At 57.8% G+C, this 20,919-nt stretch overlaps 3 protein-coding genes across 25 annotated transcripts, besides 12 other annotated features; 2 read left to right on the top strand and 1 right to left on the bottom strand.

Moving 5' to 3' along the window:
• The first annotated feature begins 1,262 nt into the window (after nucleotides 1-1,262).
• Nucleotides 1,263-7,020, top strand: EXOC3L1 (exocyst complex component 3 like 1). The gene is made up of 14 exons (NM_178516.4): nucleotides 1,263-1,428; nucleotides 1,716-1,768; nucleotides 2,219-2,379; nucleotides 2,459-2,678; nucleotides 3,562-4,174; nucleotides 4,261-4,378; nucleotides 4,515-4,640; nucleotides 4,742-4,842; nucleotides 5,052-5,162; nucleotides 5,909-6,038; nucleotides 6,141-6,263; nucleotides 6,342-6,497; nucleotides 6,589-6,713; nucleotides 6,795-7,020. The coding sequence occupies exons 2-14, from the start codon at nucleotides 1,723-1,725 to the stop codon at nucleotides 7,003-7,005; spliced, it is 2,241 nt and encodes a 746-aa protein (NP_848611.2). The 5' UTR covers nucleotides 1,263-1,428; nucleotides 1,716-1,722; the 3' UTR covers nucleotides 7,006-7,020.
• Nucleotides 5,918-6,017: an enhancer, noted in NCBI's record as "active region_10956". NCBI's record gives its function as "activates an Ori minimal core promoter by ATAC-STARR-seq in GM12878 lymphoblastoid cells {active_cell/tissue: GM12878}" and the evidence as "EXISTENCE:reporter gene assay evidence [ECO:0000049][PMID:35858748]".
• Nucleotides 7,021-7,435: 415 nt separating the features above from the next.
• Nucleotides 7,436-15,800, top strand: MATCAP1 (microtubule associated tyrosine carboxypeptidase 1). Of its 8 annotated transcripts, NM_001369685.1 has the most exons (9): nucleotides 7,436-7,527; nucleotides 7,944-8,137; nucleotides 9,702-9,841; nucleotides 10,733-11,358; nucleotides 11,441-11,584; nucleotides 11,837-11,969; nucleotides 12,895-13,200; nucleotides 13,292-13,389; nucleotides 14,424-15,800. In NM_001369685.1, the coding sequence occupies exons 4-9, from the start codon at nucleotides 10,789-10,791 to the stop codon at nucleotides 14,586-14,588; spliced, it is 1,416 nt and encodes a 471-aa protein (NP_001356614.1). In that variant the 5' UTR covers nucleotides 7,436-7,527; nucleotides 7,944-8,137; nucleotides 9,702-9,841; nucleotides 10,733-10,788; the 3' UTR covers nucleotides 14,589-15,800. The 8 variants fall into 8 exon arrangements, with proteins under 8 accessions (NP_001356614.1, NP_001356615.1, NP_001356609.1 ...); NM_001369686.1 differs by lacking the exon at nucleotides 9,702-9,841; NM_001369680.1 differs by having other exon boundaries at nucleotides 7,436-8,137; nucleotides 9,702-9,793.
• Nucleotides 12,344-12,885: an enhancer, noted in NCBI's record as "H3K27ac-H3K4me1 hESC enhancer chr16:67212417-67212958 (GRCh37/hg19 assembly coordinates)". NCBI's record gives its function as "activates a minimal SCP1, AML or CMV promoter by ChIP-STARR-seq in primed H9 embryonic stem cells {active_cell/tissue: H9 hESC(primed)}" and the evidence as "EXISTENCE:reporter gene assay evidence [ECO:0000049][PMID:30033119]".
• Nucleotides 12,344-12,934: a biological region, named in NCBI's record as "H3K27ac-H3K4me1 hESC enhancer GRCh37_chr16:67212417-67212958".
• Nucleotides 12,775-12,934: a silencer, noted in NCBI's record as "silent region_7591". NCBI's record gives its function as "represses an Ori minimal core promoter by ATAC-STARR-seq in GM12878 lymphoblastoid cells {active_cell/tissue: GM12878}" and the evidence as "EXISTENCE:reporter gene assay evidence [ECO:0000049][PMID:35858748]".
• Nucleotides 12,886-13,429: an enhancer, noted in NCBI's record as "H3K27ac-H3K4me1 hESC enhancer chr16:67211873-67212416 (GRCh37/hg19 assembly coordinates)". NCBI's record gives its function as "activates a minimal SCP1, AML or CMV promoter by ChIP-STARR-seq in primed H9 embryonic stem cells {active_cell/tissue: H9 hESC(primed)}" and the evidence as "EXISTENCE:reporter gene assay evidence [ECO:0000049][PMID:30033119]".
• Nucleotides 13,205-13,264: a silencer, noted in NCBI's record as "silent region_7590". NCBI's record gives its function as "represses an Ori minimal core promoter by ATAC-STARR-seq in GM12878 lymphoblastoid cells {active_cell/tissue: GM12878}" and the evidence as "EXISTENCE:reporter gene assay evidence [ECO:0000049][PMID:35858748]".
• Nucleotides 15,012-15,441: a silencer, noted in NCBI's record as "fragment chr16:67209861-67210290 (GRCh37/hg19 assembly coordinates)". NCBI's record gives its function as "represses an EF-1alpha promoter that drives an FKBP-Casp9 reporter gene in an ReSE screen in K562 erythroleukemia cells {active_cell/tissue: K562}" and the evidence as "EXISTENCE:reporter gene assay evidence [ECO:0000049][PMID:32094911]".
• NOL3 (nucleolar protein 3) lies at nucleotides 15,662-20,861 on the bottom strand. Of its 16 annotated transcripts, none has more exons than NM_001276312.3 (6): nucleotides 20,825-20,861; nucleotides 19,942-20,247; nucleotides 17,353-17,537; nucleotides 16,935-17,237; nucleotides 16,455-16,778; nucleotides 15,662-16,352 (listed from the first exon to the last, which is right to left on the bottom strand). In NM_001276312.3, exons 4-6 carry the CDS (start codon nucleotides 17,227-17,229, stop codon nucleotides 16,345-16,347), a joined length of 627 nt encoding a protein of 208 aa, NP_001263241.1. In that variant the 5' UTR covers nucleotides 17,230-17,237; nucleotides 17,353-17,537; nucleotides 19,942-20,247; nucleotides 20,825-20,861; the 3' UTR covers nucleotides 15,662-16,344. The 16 variants fall into 16 exon arrangements, with proteins under 16 accessions (NP_001263241.1, NP_001381902.1, NP_001263236.1 ...); NM_001394973.1 differs by having other exon boundaries at nucleotides 17,353-17,391; NM_001276307.3 differs by having other exon boundaries at nucleotides 17,353-17,391; nucleotides 20,147-20,247.
• Nucleotides 16,815-17,074: a silencer, noted in NCBI's record as "silent region_7589". NCBI's record gives its function as "represses an Ori minimal core promoter by ATAC-STARR-seq in GM12878 lymphoblastoid cells {active_cell/tissue: GM12878}" and the evidence as "EXISTENCE:reporter gene assay evidence [ECO:0000049][PMID:35858748]".
• Nucleotides 16,815-17,894: a biological region, named in NCBI's record as "H3K27ac-H3K4me1 hESC enhancer GRCh37_chr16:67207408-67208330".
• Nucleotides 16,972-17,894: an enhancer, noted in NCBI's record as "H3K27ac-H3K4me1 hESC enhancer chr16:67207408-67208330 (GRCh37/hg19 assembly coordinates)". NCBI's record gives its function as "activates a minimal SCP1, AML or CMV promoter by ChIP-STARR-seq in primed H9 embryonic stem cells {active_cell/tissue: H9 hESC(primed)}" and the evidence as "EXISTENCE:reporter gene assay evidence [ECO:0000049][PMID:30033119]".
• Nucleotides 18,811-18,974: a silencer, noted in NCBI's record as "fragment chr16:67206328-67206491 (GRCh37/hg19 assembly coordinates)". NCBI's record gives its function as "represses an EF-1alpha promoter that drives an FKBP-Casp9 reporter gene in an ReSE screen in K562 erythroleukemia cells {active_cell/tissue: K562}" and the evidence as "EXISTENCE:reporter gene assay evidence [ECO:0000049][PMID:32094911]".
• Nucleotides 20,615-20,904: a silencer, noted in NCBI's record as "silent region_7588". NCBI's record gives its function as "represses an Ori minimal core promoter by ATAC-STARR-seq in GM12878 lymphoblastoid cells {active_cell/tissue: GM12878}" and the evidence as "EXISTENCE:reporter gene assay evidence [ECO:0000049][PMID:35858748]".

Below are 20,919 nucleotides of genomic sequence, written 5' to 3'. Positions count from 1 at the left end.
TGGGACTCGAGATAGGGTTTTGCAGCAAGTTTGTTGGGGATCCACACTTTTTTTTTTTGAGACAGGGTCTCACTCTGTTGCCCAGGCCGGAGTGCAGTGGCAAGATCAATGCCGTCTCAGCTTCCTGGGCCCAAGCGATTCTCCCACCTCAGCCTCCCAAGTAGCTGGGACCACAGGCATGCACCACCATGCCCGGCTCATTTATTTTTAGTTTTTTAGAGATGTGGGTCTCACTATATTGCCCAGGCTAGTCTTGAACTCGTGGGCTCAAGAGATCCTCCCACCTCAGCCTCCCAGAATGCTGGGATGACCGGTGTGAGCCACCGCACCTGGTCAGGATCCACACCTTTAAGGGATTAAGACAAGCAGAATTGAGCAGATGCAATTATATTATAGGCCTCAGCCTATCCCACTAGGATCTCTGAAATTGGGGTAGCACTTCTGAAGGGTTCATGTTCACACGATGGTACCATGCTTTTGCACCCCAATATTGACTGAGAGACTCAGTGGTGTGATCTCAGTAGCCTACACTCCTGGCAGCTGGAGAATGAGCACTTCTGTCCTGAAGGGTGGATTTGGGTGGTGGACTGAACATCCACTAAATAATTACCACCTTATAGTCCCTTCCCTGGCTCCCTATAACTCTCAAGATAAACACAGCTGCCCAGTTGCGGTGACTCACGCCTGTAATCTCCCAACACTTTGGGAGGCTGAGGCAGGCAGATCGCTTGAGCCCAGAAGGCTGCAGTGAGCTATGGTGGTGCCACTGTACTCCAGCCTTGGTGACAGATCAAGACCCTGTCTAAAACAAAAAAGATAAACACAGCTTTCATGACCCTCTCCTACCACCCCCCACCACACCCCTCTTCACAAGAGCCTGCCACCTCTCACTCCTCCGCAGAGGTACACATCCTCCTCAGAGGCTGGCCAACACAGTTTTCATCCTGTGCTGTTGATGTCGTCTGCATCCATATCTGCACACTCTGCCCACCACCCCAGGTTGAGGCCAAGTCTAGCAAATCCCTATCTCCTCTCCTGAGCACTAAGAGGTTCTGGGTAGGCTGGTCAAGACTGGTTGAGTACAAGTACACCCCACCCCCCCGCCCCTCAGGGAAGTGTCGCCCAGCTGTCCCCACCCTCTGTGCAGACACTCTTTCCTGTTGGGAATAAAATGCCAGAGACTCAGCTTCCTTCCTTTCTGTTGATGGCCTTGGGGAGGGAGGAGCCTCGGTGGGAAGAAGGGGCTTCTGGGTGGGGAGTGGGAGAGAGACTTCCTTGGGGAGAGGAATTCAGCTGCACGCTGGAGTCAGCTGGAGTTGCCCAGGCCCTGTGAGCAAGTGGCAGGCGTGCCCAGCTGCATTGGGGAGAGGGCTGTTCTCAAGGCCAAGGTCATTTTTGGAGGGAGAACTGGACGCCTGATCAAATCTGGTAAGTTCTGTACCAAACTGTCCTGTGCAGCTCAGAGCAGGACCAGGGTCCAGTGGAGGCCTGTGCCCACTCTGTCTCGCTTGACATCTGCAGGGGCACGACTGGGAAACCTAGCAGGCAAAGCCTCCCAGGTGCCCTCCGCATCACACCCGCTCCCTCTCACTTCCCGAGGGGGCCGGGAAGAACCTCCTTCCTCCTCTCAGAAGGGCTTAGACAGAGGCAGCAGCTCACAGGGGCATCTACTCTGCCTGCTTGCCCCGGGCCCACCTCAGCTCTGGCTCCTCCAGGCCCACAATGGACTCAGCAGCCAAGGATGAGATGCAGCCGGCGTTGTCCCCTGGTATGAACCTTTTGGGTGGACTAGGGGAGGAATGATGGCAACAAAGATGGGACTGGCTGGGCGCAGTGGCTCACGCCTGTAATCCCAACACTTTGGGAGGTCAAGATGGGCAGATGACCTGAGGTCAGGAGCTCCAAACCAACCTGGCCAACATAGTGAAACCCCGTCTCTACTAAAAATACAAAAACTAGCTGGGCGTGATGGCACGCGCCTGTAATCCCAGCTCCTCGGGAGACTGAGGCAGGAGAATCGCTTGAACCCGGGAGGCGGAGGTTACAGGGACCCGAGATTGCACCACTGCACTCCAGCCTGGGCAACAGAGCGAGACTCCATCTCAATAAACAAATAAACAAACAAATAAATAAATAAATAAATAAATAAGAAAGCTGGGACTGGGGTCGTTGGGCCCTCCTCCCTGACTACACGGCTGCCCAGGCTCTTCCTTCCCAGGACCTGAGTGGCCAGAGCAGGAGCGGGCAGAGCAGCTGGCCCGGGGTGCAGCGCTCAAGTGGGCCTCAGGCATCTTCTACCGGCCGGAGCAGCTGGCCAGGCTAGGCCAGTACCGCAGCCGCGAGGTGCAGCGTACCTGCTCCCTGGAATCGCGCCTCAAGGTGGGCATGGGGCAGGGGGTGCGGGTGCTGGGACTGTGCTGCAGGGCTGGCCCAGCCTCATGGCTCCATCTTTCCACAGTCAGTGATGCAGTCATACCTGGAAGGCGTGCAGACTGGTGTGTGGCAGCTGGCCCAGGCCATTGAGGTGGTGCAGGGAACCCGGGAGGCCCTGAGCCAGGCCCGTGGGTTGCTCCAGGGCATGTCCCAGGCCTTACAGACTCTAGAGCCCCTACGGGAGCGGGTTGCCCAGCACAAGCAACTGCAGGCCCTGTCTCACCTGCTGCCTCGGCTGCGGGCAGGTGAGCATGCAGGGACCCTGGGCCTCAGCCTCCAATAGTCAGTCCACAAACACCCATCCCTAATCAAGGGGCTGGGGCACTAGATGGGGAACTGCATAGAGCAGCACACCAGGGACCTCCCAGACAGTAGCCCGGGCTTCCCATGGCCTATGAGGCAGCTCATCCTGGGATTCCCACGTGTGGGATGCTTGAGTCAGGACAGACACCCAGTCATGTGACTCTGGCCACCTGGTTATCAGTATATTCAAACTCTTCCCTAACAGAGTGGCTGAGCGAGTACTGGCAGGACCCCCCGATTTCCCCTGCCTTCCCTCCAGGATCCTCAGCTTCCTCATATTCCATGAGTTCATGGGTTGACCTCTGGCCCACCAGGTCTTTAGGACATTGCCAAGATCCTCTTAGATTGGCCAGTACTCTACTGGTTATTTATTTATTTATTTATGGTTTTTTGTTCATTTTTTGTTTTGTTTTGTTTTTGAAACAGAGTCTCACTCTGTCACCCAGGCTGGAGTGCAGTGGTGTGATCTCGGCTCACTGCAACCTCCATATCCCAGGTTCAAGCAATCCTCCTGCCTCAGCCTCCCCAGTAGCTGGGATTACAGGCATGTGCCACCATGCCTGGCTAATTTTTGTATTTTTAGTAGAGATGGGATTTCACCATGTTGGCCGGGCTGGTCTCAAACTCCTGACCTCAAGTGATTCACCCACGTTGGCCTCCCGAAGTGCTGGGATTACAGGCATGAGCCACTGTGCCCAGCTTACTCTACTGGTTGTTAAATATTTTATGCATCACCCCCGCCCTGGGCCTCAGTATCCCCTGCTGTACACATTGAGGCGGTGGGAAGGCTGAGACCCAGGGCCGTCTCCTTTTCACTCTCATTAGTGCCGGCTGCAGTGTCCCACACACAGACTCTGATTGATGGCCAACAGTTCTTGGAGGCATATGTGAGCCTTCGGGAGCTGGAGCAGCTGCGAGAGGATACGTGGGCACCCCTGGGGGGCCTGGAGTTGCCAGTCTTCCAGGGGCTGGACCTTCTGTTCGAGGCACTGGGCCAGGCTGTGGAAGCAGCTGCAGGGGCCGCAGGGAAGCTGGCACGGGAGGACCCAGCCCTGTTGGTGGCTGCTGTGCGTGTGGCGGAGGTGGAGACTGGACGAACAACCCCCCTGGGCCAGGTCCCCCGGGACTGGCGTCAGCGCTGTCTGAGGGCACTACAGGAGGGCCTGGAGCAGGCCCACTTTGGGTCACCTCTGCTGCCTGCACCAGGGGCCCTACCAGGGTGGCTGGAGGCTCTGCGAGTGGCCCTGCCAGTCGAGTTGGCCACAGCTGAGGCACTAGTAGCGCCTTGCTGCCCGCCACAGTACAACGTGGTCCAGCTATGGGCCCACACGCTGCATAGTGGTTTGCGCCGCAGCCTGCAGAACCTCCTTGCAGGGCCTGAGCTAGAAGCTGCGGATGCCTTCGCCTTGCTGCACTGGGCACTGCATGTGTACCTGGGGTCAGTGCCTTTGGGGCAGCGGGACATGGGGGATCAGAGGCTGGGGGCTTGGTGGCTTGGTGTGACACCAGGCCACCTATCTCCAGGCAGGAAATGATGGGGAGCCTGGAGTTGGGGCCTGAGGCTGATGTGTCCCAGCTGGAGCCCCTTCTGACCTTGGAGAACATTGAGCAGCTGGAGGCAACATTTGTGGCCAACATCCAGGTGAGTAGTTGAGGCACAGGTCCAGAGAAGTCCTACTTATCTGCTGTGGGCCTTTATCTGCAGAGTGGAATGTCTACCCATCTCCAGCAGGGTCAGATCCCTGCTACATTCCTTTGCCCCTGGCCCCTCCCCCCAGGCAAGTGTGTCTCAGTGGCTGCAGAATGCACTGGATGGGGAGGTAGCTGAGTGGGGCCGGGAGCATGGGCCCAACACAGACCCGTCTGGCTCCTATTACTCACCAATGCCAGCCATTGTGCTGCAGGTAGGTGGGAAGTGGCCAGACAGGCAGGCAGCCTCCATGGGGCAGTGGGGAGGAGAGGAAGGAGGGAGGCTTTGCCGATGGCTGCTCATTTCTGCCTGCAGATCCTGGAAGAGAACATTCGTGTGGCCAGCCTGGTCAGTGAGTCACTGCAACAGCGAGTGCATGGCATGGCACTGTCAGAACTGGGCACATTCTTGAGGAGGTTTGCTGAGGCACTGACCCATTCCTGATCCCTATCCCTGCTCCCCAGGCAGCCCAAAGGGGCTCTGAGTGAATAAGACATGTCACAGGGAAAGGGCTCTTTCAAACAAGGACTTGGGTATCTTGGAGGTGGGACAGGAGTACCAGGGACTGGGGCTGTGGGGATGCCAGCATAGCAGCAAGTCCAGGAGCCACCTCTGCCCATTGCAGCTTCAGTGATGCTCTGATCCGATTCTCCCGAGACCACTTCAGGGGGAAATCAATGGCCCCTCATTACGTGCCCTACCTACTGGCCGCCCTCAACCACAAGTCAGCACTCAGGTACCAGAAGGCCCCCAGGGAACCCCACCTTCACTAACCCCCTATTGAGTACCTATTATGTATGGGCTCAGCCCACACTAGGACACTAGGGACTTTGGACTCACATCGCCCTGGGGTTCCAATTCTAGTTCTGCTAATTACTAGTTGTGTGACCTTGGATGAGTTACCTAATCTCTGTGAATCTCACTTTTCTCATTAGTATTATGGGGGTACTAATGGAATGTTCTGAGAATCACATGAGATAACATGTAAAGTGGCCACCATAGTGCCTGGCACATGGTGTCAATTGTTCATTCGTCCAGCAAATATTTCAAGGCCCTACTCTGTGCCAGTAATGTCTGGGGTTACAGCTGTGTGTATACACGCACACACACACACACTCCCTTCCTCTTGGGTGGTATGTTCTTTTTGGTGGGGGCAAGGAAAACAAGTGATGATTTTTTACTCCCTCCTCACTGGGATACTTCCCTTCCTTTACGAATGAGGAAACAGAAACCGAAAGAATGTTTTCCTCAAGGACGCACCGCGAATTTGAGGCAGGTCTCGCTGGGCTGTGTCCTTTGCAGCTCGCCAAGCGCCCGTCTCCCAGCCCTGGTCCATGCCTGGGACCAGAAGTGCAGAGAGCCGCTGTTCTCGCTCCCTCCCGTCAAACACTTGCCCCACAAGGTGGCGCCGGAGGGTCTGGACCACCGAGGGCCATGCGGGCCTTGGCCTTGGTCCTGAAGCCGTAGTTTTGCTTGGTCCAGCTCCTCAGTGTCTGTCCTGCAGCTGGACGGGGCGCCTTCAGGGGCCTTGGCTCCAGTGGAAGCTGCGCTGGACGAGTTGCAGAGGAGGATCTACCGCTTGGTGTTGGAGGCGCTGCAGGCGGAGCTCCAGGTGAGGCCTCCTTCAGGTCAGGATGGGAGCAGGTGGAGAGGTGGCGGTACAGCTACGTATGGGGGTCTCCGCGGCAATGCCAGATCTGGATCATTTCCCCAGCCCCTGTTCGCGGATCTGCCCTCGCGCCAATGGCTGTCGAGCCCTGAGCTCCTGCAAAGTGTGTGTGAACGGACGGGGCGCTTCTGCCGGGACTTCTGGCGCGTGCGGAACCCCACGGTTCAGGTGGGTTGGGGGAAAAGATTGGGGAAGGGGCGGCGCGGGTGAGAGGCGACCTGCACCCGCCTGATTGCCTCCCCGCAGCTGCTGCTGGCTGAGGCCGAGCGTGCCGTGGTGCTCCAGTACCTGAGCGCGCTGATGCAAGGCCGCCTGGTGTGCCGCGGAGCCGACGAGAGGACCCAGGCGGCCGAGCGCCTGCGGCACGATGCTGCCCAGCTTCAGCAGCTTTTCCTCAGTTTGGTGAGAGCTTCTTGGGCGGGCAGACGGGCGAGAGTCTCAGTGGCTGGGTGGGAGAGAGGGCTGGCGCGAGACCCTACCCCGACGTGCTCAGGGCCTGGAGGAGAACGCGCACTGCGCGCCGGTGCTGCTCGCCCTGAGGGAGCTGCTAAACCTCCGCGACCCCGCGCTGCTGGGCCTGGAGGTGGCTGGCCTGCGGCAACAATTTCCCGACGTGAGGTGCGGACTGGGGGCCAGAAGGGAAGAGAAGCCGGAGGGCGGGGAGGACGGGGCTGACGCGCCTCCTTGGTGCCCCTGCAGCGAGGACCACGTCTCCGCCCTCTTGGGCCTGCGCGGGGACTTGTCCCGGGAGCAGCACCTGGCCGCGCTCAGCTCCCTGCAGGCTGCGCTGCCGCCGTCGCCCCGCGCGAGCCGCCGCGTCCTCTTCAGCCTAGTGCCCGCGCCCGCGCTCGCGCCGGCCTCCTGCCTGCCCTCGGGGTCCTGCGCCCGAGCCCTGCTGCTCGCAGAATAAACCACGGCTGCCGGACGCCTGAGTCTGTGTGTGTTGGGGAAGGTGGGATGGAATAAAAGTGCCCACGAGGGTTGAGGGAATTCTTGCAGAGTGACACGCTTAAAGTATCCTGGCTCCCGTCCTGGTACACGGGCTGCGCCCCGCCTATGCAGGCATCTGCCCTCTGTGCAGACTGCGTTCCCGAGGCCGCGGGCTACGCCCCCACGTCTCCGCGCCCAGGCCGTGAGCAAGAGTCTCCGCCGCCCTGGCCGCCTGGAGCCCCTGAAGCCCAGCAACTCGCTGTGGCCTTGGGAAGGGGGCGGGCCCAGGACCACGAACACCGCCCCCTCAACCCTGCCTGGCTTCGCTCCCAGTGGCCTCGGGGGCGCGCCGCCGCGGAGACTGACGCGAAGCCCCACGCTTTCGTAAGAGCGTGCGCGCGCCCGAGGACGTACGTCATCGGCGACGGCTCCCGCCGGCTGGGCGTCCGGTGGCCGGTGTAGCAGAGCGGGAGCGGCGGGCGGCGAGCAGAGGAGCTAACAGGTGGGGGCACGGCACGCGGACGGACCCCCCCAAAGGCCGGGAGGAGGCGCGCGACGCGACCTTTCCTGATCTCCCGGAGAAGCCTCCACTCCATTGTCTCCTGGCCCCACCCTCCATTGGGCACGCCCTTCACCTTATCCCCCACCACTTATTGGCTGCAGGTCACGCCCCTCCTCTATTTCTGGTTCCCCATTGGCTCTTCACCTTGTCCTCTCCGGGGCTTCTCTCCGCACAGGCCACACCCTCTCATTTGTCACTAGACCCCGCCTTAATAGTGGGGGGCTCCTCCCCCATCCATCCTTCATTCATTATGCACCCAGTGCTGGGTGCTTGGTACACGGGGGTGAATCAGACCCCATTCCTGCCTTCGGGGAGTTCAGGGGATTGTGGGAGGACACGGACCTAGACTCCAACAGTGACAGCTCTGAGTAAAGAAGTCGCCGAAGCAGTGGGACACTAGACGCGGGGAAGGCTTCCTGGAGGAAGTGAGGCCTAAACTGAGCCTTGAAGAATGGTTAAGAGTTTGCTCCAGGAATATATTGCAAAGGCATTCTTGGCGGAAGGACCCGAGACGTGAAAAAAACAGGCGTATTCTGGTAATTTCGAGGAGGTATGTCGAATGAAAGAAGGGGAGATGGAGGGGACTGGGCCAAGCAGAAACCTGTAAAGGGGTGAGGAGTCCAAAAAACTGTACAGTTAGTTAAAGGGAGTGAAGCCTGGGACCTGAAGTCTTTTCAAGCAGCTGGTCATTAGGCAGGGTAGAGAGGAGTGGAGAGGGGGAAGATGAAGTCTAGATAGGGAAGCAAAGTGCAGGGAAGGAATAATTCTAGTTCTGAAAGAAGAGCTCTTGGATTCATTTATTTATTGAGCAATTGCTGCGGGCCAGGCACTGTTCTGGGTTCTGGGGACACAGCTGTGAATGTTGGAAAAGATAAAACAGATAACTATCAAATATACCTATCATACAAATATAAACTGTACTGAAGTACACTCCAGATGGTGATGACTGCTACAAAGAACAATAATTTGGGGAAGGGGAGATAGTGGAGAGGGGAGAGGAGGTTTACTATTTTATTGAGGGTGTGTTAGGCTTTTCTAATAACATGGTATTGATGCAGAGATTTGAGGAAAGTGAGAGAGTGACCCATGCCATTATACAGGGGGAGGAACATCCCAGACAGAGGACATATTCTGTTTGATATGCCTATTAAACATTCAAGTGATGACACTGCAGTGAAGATGGACATGATGGCATGTGCCTGTGGTTCCAGCTAGTTGGAAGGCTGAGGTGGGAAGATTGCTTGAGGCCAGGAATTCAAGACCAGCCTGGGCAAATAGACAGTATCTCAAATTGCACTGAAATTGGCAACACTGGTCTAAAGTTTATGGAAGAAGTCTGAGCTAATGTATGTAAAACCACAAGAGTGGATGAGAACATCTAGGGAGTGAACGTAAATGGAGAAGTTTCCATAGGCAAGTCCTGGAGCATTACAGTATTAAGAGGTCAGGGAGACAGGGATGACCAGCAAGGTAGGAGGAGAACTAAGTTCGACTGTGTTTGGAAAACCAAGTGGACAGCATGTTTCCAGGAGGCAGTGACTTTTTTTTTTTTTTTTTTTTTTGAGATGGAGTTTCGCTGTTGTTGCCCAGGCTGGAGTGCCATGGCACAATCTTGGCTCACCGCAAACTCCGCCTCCCGGGTTCAAGCGATTCTCCTACCTCAGCCTCCCGAGTAGCTGGGGTTACAGGCATGTGCCACCACGCCCAGCTAATTTTGTATTTTAGTAGAGACGGGGTTTCTCCATGTTGGTCAGGCTGGTCTCGAACTCCCGACCTCAGGTGATCCGCCCGCCTCGGCCTCCCAAAGTGCTGGGATTACAGGCGTGAGCCACCCTGCCTGGCCTCCAGGAGGTAGTGATTAACTGTATCGGGTGCTGATCAATATGAAGGTCATTGCTGGTCATTGGTGACCTTGATCAGATCAATTTGGATGGAGTGCTGGGAACAAAAGGCTAATTGGAGTGAATTTAAGAGAGAACAGGAAAAAAGGAACTGGAGACTGGGTATAGATGACTCGAGGTATGTGCTGCAATAGGAGCAAGTGGAGGGAGATGCAGCGGGGCTGTAGCTGGAGGAGTGTGGGTTCTAGTGAGGGTTTTGTTTTGTTTTTTAAGATGGAGAAGTAACAGCATGTGTTTATCCTGATGGAAAGAGTCCAGTAGAGAGGAAGAGATTGATGATGTAGGAGAGAGGAGAAATGCTGGAAGTGAGTCACTGAGCAGGCAAGGGAGCTCAGCAGCTGGAGCCTCTCCAGGTAGTCTCTGGGGAGGGTTGGGATTGGACTGAGTCCTGGAACAGAGTCGGGGTGAGCGCCCTGACACTGGCTTTGGATGACCACTGGAAAGATCCCTCAGATAGGGGACAAGCCAGAGATTGGCTTGGATTTGCTGAAGCTTCCTTCTGCTTCCCAAAAGCAGATTCTAATTTGGATTTCAACAGATGGCTCAGAGGAGAGAGGGCATTCTGGGGGGTACCGGCGTAAGCATGGGGCCCTCAAACATTGAAACTGACTGAGGCCAAATAGGCAGGAGGATATGGGTAAAGCCAGGTGGATGGGCAGGGGTGGCACTGAGAAGATGCCATAGGCTGAAGGCAGTCCCTGAGGTCTTCTCACCTACCTAATCTGCCCAGGCAGCTGAAGCTGCACTGTACCACCTCCCAGATTAAGTGAGTGAGCACAGAGATTAGAATCACGAGTAAGGGGCTCAGTCCTTGCCTTCAGGAGCTCAGGCTGAGAGGATTCCAGTAACCACCACCTAGGTGGGTGTTTAAAACTCTTGCTTTCGGCTGGGTGCGATGGCTCATGCATTTAATTCCAGCACTTTGGGAGGCTGAGGCGGGAGGATCACTTCAGGCCAGGAGTTGGAGGCTGCAATGAGCTATGATCATTGCACTGCACTCCACCTTGGGCAACAGAGTGAGACCCTGTCTCAAAAAACAAAAACGAAAACAAAAGTGCTTTCTTCCGGCCCAGCATATTTGGGTGAGTCTGCTGGAGGCAATGGACGCTGCAGCCAATCAGACCCCTGGTAGCAGAGCCTGGGCCCACCAAGGGCCCAGCAGAGGCAATGTGGAGTACAGGGCCTGCTGGTCGTTTGGTCACACCCACTCATGCTGGTCTCCACATGCCCTTCTGTGTCCCCAGAGGTCGACAGTGTGGGGAGTTGGAGTGACCCGGCTGGATGTGACCCCCAGGACAGAATGGTGCTGGACTCAGGGGCTCAGGCGTATGATCAGGCACCCCCCAGCCCGCCTACCAGTCCCCCATCCCTGCGCCATAGGCTGAAGCCCTCAGACCGAGATGGGCCACCACTGTACCCCTGGTCTCAGTCCCTGGCCTTGCCCCTGGCTCTGGCAGTCCCCCCAGCGCTGCAGCCCCAGCCTGAGCAGCAGCCGTTCTCACAGATGCTCCTGGGCCACCGTGGCCACATGCGTCGCAGTGAGAGCACCTACTCTGTAAATAGTACTGGCCGGCGGGGGCGTGGCACCCTGGGACGGCCTCCACCTGGACGGGGACGGAACCCAGGTGGGGGCACCCTGCGGCCTGCAGCCTCCCTGCCTCACATTGCTAAGACTCAAAGGGATGCAGGCCATATTGCCAGCAAGAGCCCCTGCATGTTGGTGGCCCTGCGGCCAACCAACATGGACCGTGAGCGAGACAAGTTCTTCCAGTCCCATTACACCTACAATCCACAGTTTGAGTACCAGGAGCCCATGCCCACGGCTGTGCTGGAAAAGTACTGCGAGGCCTCTGGACAGTTCATCCATCAGGTCAGTCCAGCCTCCCCACCGTATCCTGGCCCTGACCACCCAAGGGGCTTGTCCTGACCAGCCACTGTGGCCCCGTGTACAGGCAGTTGGCATCATTGAGGCTGTTCTGGAGAAGTTTGGAACCTATGAACACTTTGAGGCTGCCACTGGGGGGCAGCTGCTCACCAAGTGCCAGATATGGTCGATTGTGCGCAAATACATGCAGAAGGAGGGCTGCGCTGGGGAGGTGAGCTTGCCTGCAGAGCCCTTCCTCTACATGCCCCAAATCAGGGTGTCTTGTGGGCGGTCCCAGGTCCAGCTCCACACCTGACCCACCCCTGCCCCTGCCCCAGTGAGGTGGGAGCTGGTTCTGAGCAGAGGTGATGAAGGGTGGGTGCCCTGGCCAATTGTCTGGCCTCGCTGCCCTGTGGCATCATTGGGTCCACCTGCACCCTGGCCCCAGGCTGGTGGCCATGGCTCAGAGCACTGCCACCTGCAGGTTGTGGTGCAGCTGAGTGAGGACCTGCTGTCCCAGGCAGTGATGATGGTGGAGAACAGCCGGCCCACATTGGCGATCAACCTGACCGGAGCCCGCCAGTACTGGTTGGAGGGCATGCTGCGGCATGAGATAGGTCAGGGTGTGGGTATCCGGGCAGATGGGTAGGCATGAAAGGGGCCTGGGAGCTGGGAGGGGTGGGAAGGAGGGGCCCCAATAACTCCCCTTTTTGTTTCTCCCCCTTCCCTCCTGAGGTCGGGGCTTTCCCTTCCTGAGCAGCCACCTCCCGCCCTCTGCTTACAGAGGTAGGCCAGAACATGCCTGCCCATGCTCTGGGCTCGCTCTCATCTCTTGGTCCTTTCGGGTATATTTTTCTCTCTCCACTTCCTCTCCGACTTCTCCCAACAGTGCGGGCAAGGCTGGTCAGGCCCTGACCGGCCAGAGAAAGAACCCTCAGGGTCCCACCAGGCCAGCCACCACGCTGGCCCTCCAGGGTGGATGGAAGGCCAGGTCCTGGGAATGGACTTGACTTGAGGACACATGGCACCTGGTTTAGGAGGGGACTGGCCAGTTTGGGCAGGGGGGTGCAGGGCACTAACCACTATTCCTATCTGTCTGTCCCTCTTCCTCGAGAATCCTGTTGCTCTGGGCAAGAGTGATTTTTACCGGGGGCATCAGCATGACTGTTCAAGATGATATGGGCACCCAGGATGTTGGGCAGGGTGGTATATGTATTCTTGTGCCCAGGAGGGCTGGGGGCAATGTCAGTTTGGGAGAGTTCGTGCACGTGTGTGGGTGCGTGGGTGTAGGGTGGGGGGCGGATGGGTGGGAGAGGATTCATGTATGTGAGCCTCTGTGGATCCTTGGGTGCGAGTCCACAGGAGGAGGAGCTTCACGCTGCCTGGGGCTGGGAGAGCCTGTGTGCGAGCCTGAGTTCAGGAGCATGAGGATGGAAGTGTCGCGGCCAGAGCCCCGGCCAGATGGAACAGGGCCAGGGCTGGGCTCGCAGGCGGGTCCCCGAACGCCCCGCCCAGCGCCGCCTCCCCTCGCCTTCCCCGCAGGCACCCACTACCTGCGGGGCGTGAACAACGCGCGCCAGCCGTGGCACAACGCGGAGGGCCGGCTGCGGTACGGGCTGCGGCCGGCGAACCCCACGGAGGAGGGCCTGGCCAGCCTGCACAGCGTGCTGTTCCGCAAGCAGCCGTTCCTGTGGCGCGCTGCACTGCTCTACTACACCATCCACCGCGCCGCGCGCATGTCCTTCCGTCAGCTCTTCCAGGACCTGGAGCGCTACGTGCAGGACGCCGATGTGCGCTGGGAGTACTGCGTGCGCGCCAAGCGCGGCCAGACCGACACCTCGCTGCCAGGTGTGCGCCAGCGCGGGGGAGGTGCCTAGAGCCGGGGTGGGGGCGGGGCTTCGGGCGAGGGGCGGGGCTCACCGCCCTCCTGCCCTCCCAGGTTGTTTCAGCAAGGACCAGGTGTACCTGGACGGCATCGTGCGCATTCTGCGACATCGCCAGACCATCGATTTCCCGTTGCTGACCTCACTGGGCAAGGTGAGGGGCTGTGGACCTTCAGAGGTCCCAGCCAGCTCCCTGCCTTGCTGTAGAATTCCCTGAGCCTCGGATTGGTGCTAGACCGAGGGCTGGGTGTCAGGCCTGTGGTGGTAGGGGGGAGCGTGGGTGGAAGTGAGAACAGGAGATGAAATGACTCTGGCAGCAAAACCAGGTGCTTAACGGAGGCTGCAGGTGTATGTAGATACTGCATCTCAAAGGAGATGAGCATTCCAGGCCAAGGGAGTGATCAGGAAGGCCAGGGGAAGAAGGCTGCAGAAATGGCCAGGGACCAACTCCCTGGCACTGGCATTTGTGCCAGGCCGAGGAAAGTAGATTTCATCTGAAGCAACGGGGAGTGAGAGGAGCTTTAAGCAGAGGAGTGACTCTGATATTTGCTTCAGAAGGCTCCTTCTGGACATCATATGGGAGGTGGATTGGAGAGAGGACTAGGGAAGGGAGTGCAGGGGCACGGAGGAGGCCTTGCCTGTCACTCCTGCAGAAGGGATGGTGGTCTGGCCTAACCAGGCAGTGGCCGCTGGGTTGGAGATGAAGGGACAAGCTGGAGAGCTCTTCAGAGAGGGGAATACTTTTAACTCAGCGGCTACCCTGATGGGAGGGTGAGAGTCCAAGCCCCCTCCCGGGAATCTGACCTGGGTGACTGTAAAGAGGGTGGAGCTGGCATAAGCTGGCACTCAGGAGTTGACTTTTGGACATGGGGCCATCCTGAGGGTTATCCAGGGGAAGACATTAAGGAGGCAGTTGGATGCCCATGTTTGGAGGTGAGGGTCTGAGAGGCTGGGCTGGAGAGAGAAGTGGGGTTGTAGGGCATCTATGACAAAAAGAAACTGTTGAGAGAAAGGGCAAAGATGAAGGATTGAGTCTAGAGGTATAAAACGTTGTAGCTAATTGTGGATCAGGAGGGGAGAGGAAGAAGTCCCGGAGCAAAGGCTGTGAGCTGTAAGCAGTGGGCTGGGACCAGCTACCTGAAAGCCAGGGGCCACTGCCTATGCCTGATGCCCGGCTTCCTCCTGCAGGTGTCCTATGAGGATGTGGACCACCTGCGGCCCCATGGGGTGCTGGATAATACCCGGGTGCCCCACTTCATGCAGGACTTGGCACGCTACCGGCAGCAGCTGGAGCACATCATGGCCACCAACCGGCTGGATGAGGCGGAGCTGGGTCGCCTGCTACCCGACTGATGTCCGTTGAGGGCTGCAGTCAGAGGCCCTGGACAGAAGCTCCAGATAGGCCCCTAGAACATGAAGCAGTTTGCTCTGTGCGTCCACGGCCTAGGTGTTTCTTGGGGGTGTTGGGAGGGCAGGAGCATTCCTTGAGGAGGAGTGGCAACATCAAAGTGTTTGTGTCCCTTGCCAGCCTCCCTGGGGTCTGGGGACCTGCAGCAGCATGTCTGGCAAACTGAGTCGCCCTCCTGCCTCCAGCTCTCTGTTGAGCAGAGGGAAGGCATGGGGGCAGGAAGAGAGCTGAGCATTGATGGGGATGGGGGTGGTTTGGGAATAGAAACTTGTTCTTGCATGAGATGGCTTTGGTTGTCCCAGTACTCCAGTCTCTCCCTTCCCTTACCTGGCCCCTTGGTGCTCCTTCAGCATTTGTGCTGTCTACCTCTCACTGGGTCCTGGTGGGGGTCGGGCTCCCTTCTCCTGGGGTGATTGATGGCCTGAGCCTGGGGTCCTGGTAGTAGAGACCCAGCTGGCCTGGGGTCTGCTTTCCGACATTTTGCCTCTCTCACTGGTCATGTATTTATTCCATATTTATATGGTCTACTTCCTGTGGCTGGGAGCAGCAGCTCCTGAAGGTTCCGTGGGGGTGCGGGGGGTTGGACAGGACACTCCTTCTTGGAAGGCACCAATTTTCCCAGCCCCACTCCCATTACACACACACACACACACACACACACACACACACACACACACACACACACACACACACACACACACTGATTCAGGCCTTGAGAGTCAAGCCCAAGAGCTCCCTTGGCCCTGTTCCCCACTCCCTCCACTGGCCTCTGCTGTTCCTGTCTTTGCTCACACCCTCACAGCTGCTCTCTGGCAGAGGTTGGCATAGCCTAGGAGCAGCTGCAATTGCACCTGAGGGACAGGCCCTAGAGTTTGGTGGCCCAAGTCCTGAACCCCTCTTAGACCAGGTGAGGTGCAGAGGTGGTTGCTGCTTCCAGTTTCCCTTCAGACTTAGCTGTGTGAACCCCACTCCTATCCTTTGGCCTTAGTTTTCCCATCTGTAAAACTCAGAAACGCAGTTGGAAAGTCCTTATTCATTTAGTAAGCGAATATATTATAATATGTATAGAGCGCCTTTTGTGTAAGTCACTGGTCAGAATCCTCACTGAGCTCCCAGTCCAGAGAGAAGCCAGACAATTAAAACAGTAATGACAATGATGTGTGTGGCCTTTGTCTACTCAAGGTCCCTTTCTGCTCCCCTCTTCTAGTCTCACTTCCCAAGGCTGTGAGCTCTAAGCCCTCCCTATGTGGAGAGAAGTCACCCTCCCCTTGCTCCATGTTCAGCTCAGGAACTTGCGTGGGGTTGAGCTGGTACCTACATATGCTGCCAAGTGGCTCACCAGGGGAAATGGGTTGTGTATGCGGGCAGGAGGGTCAGGTCCTTGTCCCACTAGGGGGCTAGGTTTGGGATCTCCAGGGTGCAGCCTGGACTCCTAAGGGCAGATTAGGGCTGAGGACTGGATGATGCTCGTGGTGGGCTTGGGCCTGCCCAGGTCCCTGGGACTCAGAGGTACCCACCCTAAGTTCCTGGGCAAACAGCCAGAATCGTGGAGAGAGCCCAGGTCCCGTCCGACCCTCCGGAGTTTATTCACTTCCAGCGGTACTGGGCTGGACCGAGCCTTGGTGGCATCCGATTCAGCTCCAGCAGCATCCCAGGTCCTATCCAGCATGGGCGGGGCACCGCCTGTCAGAGCTCTGGCCTTCAGGAATCTAGAGATGACGGGAACAGTGGTCAAAGAGGTGGGGTCCGGCATCCGCTTCCCAGGCCATGCCCTCCCGCCAAGCCGGCTCAGGGTTTGGGCGGACTCACACCTTCGGACTCGTCCCTTTCCTCGAAGTCGGGCTCGGGCTCTGGGTCCGGTTCTGGCTCCAGTTCCGGCTCTGGTTCTGCTTCAGCCTCGGGTTCCAGCTCTGGCTCTGGCTCCGGCTCCGGTTCAGCCTCTTTAGAGGCCTCAGCTTCCAGCTCTGGCTCTGGCTCCTCCGGGGTCCCGGATTGCACCGCCTCGGAGCCCTCAGGGCCCCCGGCCTCGTCAGGGTCTGAAGCTCTGGGCAACCCGGGGCATGTGGTCCCCGAGCCGGGTGCCTCCGGCGTCCAGTGGCCTGGGCATGGAGGGTCATAGCTGCGGTCCCGGTAGCCTGGGGCGGAAGTGGGAGTGACTGAGGCTCAATTTACCCCTGTGCGGTTTCACACTCGCCTACTTCTAGCGGAGACGACAACCCTGCCCTCCCCGGGCCTTTTGTCTGCCCCAGCCCCGTCCCTGCTCTGCCCTAGGCCCCGCCCCGCGCGCTCACCCGGACCCACGTGCTGCCAGTCCCAAGCGGGGTCCGGCGCGCCCGCGGTACGCTGGGCACAGCGTAGCAGCTCCTGGCAGGCGGCCTCGCCCTTGCCCTGCACCAGCAGCAGTAGGCGGCGCACCCTGCGCTCGGCATCAGGCAGTGCATCCAATGCCTCGTACTCTGGCCCGGTGAGCACGCCCCGCGCCAGCAGCGCGTCCAACAGCAGTCCCGAGTCCGCCTGCAGCGTCTCGACCAGGCGTTTCCGCTCGCGGTCGATAGTCTCTGACGGCCGCTCCTGCGCGTTGCCCATTGTCGGGGCTGCATGGGGAAAGGGGAGAGAAGTAATGGGGGGTTGCCCTCCCCGCTGCCCTCGCCGCCTCTGACCACTCCCTCAATGCCCCCAGTGAACACCCAGGCTGGGGTTTAAGTTCACCTCGATCCCAGCCGCCGGACGGCTCCGCAAGCACAGGACCTGGAGGCCAACACGGGGAACTCGGTGTCCTCCTGCCTCTCCAGACGCTCTGTCCTGTCTCCTCCTCAGGCTCCTCCTTCTGTCCCCAAGCGTCAGCCGTGGCTCTCCTCTCCTCCCCTGCCTTTCCCAGGACTGGCATCTACTCTCTGAATGCCCTCCCCAACCAGGACGTCCTGAGCTCCACCCCCGGCAAATCCGAGGCGAGTTCAGACCCCGTTTATCCAAACTAAGGTCTTTCTCTCAAATCTGCTTCCCCACCTAACCAGGCAGAAAAACCTAGGATTGATGCTGATACTCCACACCCAGCTTGCAGACAAGTCCTTTCCAGTCTGACTGCTGAATATTTCTCTCACCATCCTCACCACTTACTAAGTCCAGCCTTCTGCCTCCTGCTTTGGCCCTGCAGAACCCAGGATCAGAGCTCCCTGCTTCCATACTCTATCCTCCAGTCCCCTCTGAACCCAGAGCACAAAGTGCTGAGAGCCTCCCTGCCCCTCTCCCCTTACCTTGACCCTGATATCCAACTTTCCAGGACAAGCCCCGCCTCTACACCCTCCCACCAACACCACCACCATAGTGCAACCCCAATGTAGTCTCCTGGCCCTTCCTGGTCCCCTGATTCCTGAGCAGAGATACCAGAATCTTCTTCAGGCCTAGCTCTGACCAAGATCTCTTGACATCACCTGAGACCCACCTGTCTCCCTACTGAAGCCCTAACTCCTAATGTGACTGTCTCTCTGCTGACCCACCTGGCTCCCTGCTGACCTGGGAATTACCTACAGACATTTGTTGTTTGATCTTGAAGTACCCAAGGCCTAGCTCATACAGGATACCGACAAATACTTGCCGAACTTGGACTGATTTTCCTCCATGGATCGCACTATTTTGAGAGACTTTTTTTTTTTTTTTTTTGAGATGGAGTCTCGCTGTTGCCCAAGCTGGAGTGCAGTGGCGCAATCTTGGCTCACTGCAACCTCCGCCTCCCAGGCTCAAGTGATTCTCGTGCCCAGCCTTTTTTTTTTTTTTTTTTTTTAGAGGTGGGGTCTTGCTATATATATTTTTTGTATTTATTTATTTTAGTGGAGACGGGGTTTCACTATGTTGGCCAGGCTGGTCTTGAACTCCTGACCTCGTGATCCACCTGCCTTGGCCTCCCAAAGTGCTGGGATTACAGGCGTGAGCCACCGCGCCTGTCCTGGTCTTGCTATATTGATCAGGCTGGTCTCGAACTGCTGGCCTCAAGCAATCCTCCCATCTCAGCCTTCCAAAGTGCTGGGATTACCAGCACTTTGTGAACCACCATGTGAACCACCATGCCTGGCTCTTGAGAGACTATCTCTACCAACAGCGGCTATTAGGGAGAGTCAATCTGCTTTATCCATTTTTTTTTTTTTTTTTTGACAGAGTCTCACTCTGTTGCCCAGGCTGGAGTGCAGTGGCACATTCTCTCATCACTGCAACCTCTGCCTCCTGAGTTCAAGCGATTCTTCTGCCTCAGCCTCCCGAGTAGCTGAGATTACAGGTGCCCGCACCACGCTCAGCTAATTTTTTGTGTTTTTAGTTGAGACGGGGTTTCACTATGTTGGCTAGGCTGGTCTCGAACTCCTGACCTCGTGATCCACCCACCTTGGCCTCCCAAAGTGTTGGGATTACAGGCATGAGCCACCGCACCCAGCTGCTTTGTCCATTTATTGTCAACCAAGGATTATGGCCCATTCCTGTGAGTGGCCTGACCCAGCCAGCAAGACCCCCGGCATTAGGAGGCAAAGACATCAGGCCTTGAACCATGCCCTCAGCCCACCCCCACCCTGATAATAACTTCTTCTCCTCCCCGCCTTGGCTTTGTTCACACGGCATCCTCCCATCTCTTCTTCCCTTTGCTGTCCCTCCTCTGCCTCCTTCTCTGGCTCTAGGAGGCTCGGCCTTCTCTGGGAGAGAGGATTTAGTCCTAGCCGCCATCCTGCCTCCCAGGTCTTTCTCAGTACCCTCTGGTGTCACACTATACCTCCCCCGTCACTTCACACCCTGGCTTCCTCCCATTGAAGCCCTTCCCCACCAGGCCGAGACCAGGACTACCCCCTGCCCCTCCATCTCCCTTTATGTCCCGTATGTGATGAATCTTGCTTCTCCACTTCTCAGTGAGTCTCCATCAGCTCCTGCCTTGCCACCCCACCATCGTCACCTCATGTCCTGTAACAGTCCCTCTGAGCCCCTCTCACTCCCATTCTGCCAGGCCCGATAGCACAGTGACTTTGACAACCCTCTGGGCTAGGATTGCTGTTCCCATTTTACAGATGAGGAGACAGGCTCAGAGATTCAGTGGTAAAACTGGAATCTTACTTGCTCCAGCCTGAACTATGAGGAACTGAACTATATTTTCCTGTCTAGCAGAATTCCATCCTAAATACCTATCTACCTCCCCCCCACACCCCACTGCCCATCAGAGACAACCCAAAATATCTGGTCTGGCTACTCTAGCCTCCTCCCACCACCCTGGACAGCCAGGCCCTTCCCAGCTTCCCTCCACCAGCCAGGGATCGGAGAACTCACTATGCCTCTGGCACCTCGGAGCCTTTGCTGATGCTGATCGCTAAGACTGGAATCCTTTTCTCCTCCCTCCGCTCCGTGGACCTATCCATCGTCCAGGACTCAAATGTTCCCTTGTCTACACCAATGCCTAAGTGTCCCAAGGGCTGGTGGTTCCTTCTTCTGTGTACCGTGAACAACACATGCCCTCACTAGTGCATTAACTGACATCATTGCACTGTGTACACGCAGACTCTCCGCTTTCTTCAACTGAGTTTTCCAGAGTGTCCCTCCAATCGGTGGGCAAAGGAAGGGAGAGGGGGACAGCACCTACTCGGGACAGACACAGGGAGGGTGCAGATTGGATTGGCCCCTCCTTCTCTCCAACCTAAGTTGTTTTCATGTTAGCCGCCTCCTCCTATGACCCCAAGTCCTGCCCTTTATCCTGTCTGGGGGTAGAGACTCCAGCTGGTCTGGGCCCTCCCTTTGAGGCTCACACAGCTCTCAATACCGAAGTTATTTAGCGGCCAGTCCTTCGAGGGTGACAGGTCCGATTCTTCCCAGAGAGCCAGGTGGCGGGGCACGGAGCTGGGTCCCAGCCCCCAACCCCACCTCGCTGCGCGGGCTCTTTGGCCAGGAAGCCAGGGTCTTGGGACAGTGAAGAGCCTTTGCGCATGTGCGACTGCACGGATTTTCCCCCCCCGCCCCTTACCTCCCTCCACCCAGTCCCAGAGCTTGAGAGTCCTGCGGCAGGGCGGGGCCCACAGTCCTACCCACCCCGCCCCCCCGACCCCCGAGCGCCGCAGCGGGTGGTGGGGCGCTGATTCTGCCCAATCTCGGTTTCCCTTCCCTCCCACAGCCGGGAGTGGGGCTCCCGGTCTGGCCCGTTTTGGGCGTCCCCACTCACGGGTCAAGCCTCGGCGGGGCAGGAGATGACGGTGCAGAAAGGGCCGGGCAGGGTGGGGGTGGGTGCAGCAGCTGCGGCGGGGGCGGGGCGGCCAG

The sequence above is a fragment of the Homo sapiens genome, chromosome 16 (genome assembly GCF_000001405.40).
Source record: "Homo sapiens chromosome 16, GRCh38.p14 Primary Assembly".
NCBI classification, from domain to species: domain Eukaryota; kingdom Metazoa; phylum Chordata; class Mammalia; order Primates; family Hominidae; genus Homo; species Homo sapiens.
Note: the sequence above shows the minus strand (reverse complement) of the source record. Positions and strands in the feature narration are given on the sequence as shown.

What these genes read in the sequence shown, in the direction of transcription:
- EXOC3L1 (NM_178516.4), top strand. Translation starts at nt 1,723, where the DNA reads ATGGACTCAGCAGCCAAGGATGAGATGCAGCCGGCGTTGTCCCCTG. An exon ending in CATTTGTGGCCAACATCCAG is followed by an intron (nt 4,379 to 4,514) that starts GTGAGTAGTTGA and finishes CCCTCCCCCCAG; the next exon opens with GCAAGTGTGTCTCAGTGGCT. An exon ending in CAACAATTTCCCGACGTGAG is followed by an intron (nt 6,714 to 6,794) that starts GTGCGGACTGGG and finishes GTGCCCCTGCAG; the next exon opens with CGAGGACCACGTCTCCGCCC.
- MATCAP1 (NM_001369686.1), top strand. Translation starts at nt 10,789, where the DNA reads ATGGTGCTGGACTCAGGGGCTCAGGCGTATGATCAGGCACCCCCCAGC. An exon ending in CTGGACAGTTCATCCATCAG is followed by an intron (nt 11,359 to 11,440) that starts GTCAGTCCAGCC and finishes CCCCGTGTACAG; the next exon opens with GCAGTTGGCATCATTGAGGC. An exon ending in AGGAGGGCTGCGCTGGGGAG is followed by an intron (nt 11,585 to 11,836) that starts GTGAGCTTGCCT and finishes TGCCACCTGCAG; the next exon opens with GTTGTGGTGCAGCTGAGTGA.
- NOL3 (XM_047434851.1), bottom strand. Translation starts at nt 17,530, where the DNA reads ATGCCAGTCCTGGGAAAGGCAGGGGAGGAGAGGAGAGCCACGGCTGAC. An exon ending in GTCCGGCGGCTGGGATCGAG is followed by an intron (nt 17,238 to 17,352) that starts GTGAACTTAAAC and finishes TTCCCCATGCAG; the next exon opens with CCCCGACAATGGGCAACGCG. An exon ending in CTGGCAGCACGTGGGTCCGG is followed by an intron (nt 16,779 to 16,934) that starts GTGAGCGCGCGG and finishes CTTCCGCCCCAG; the next exon opens with GCTACCGGGACCGCAGCTAT.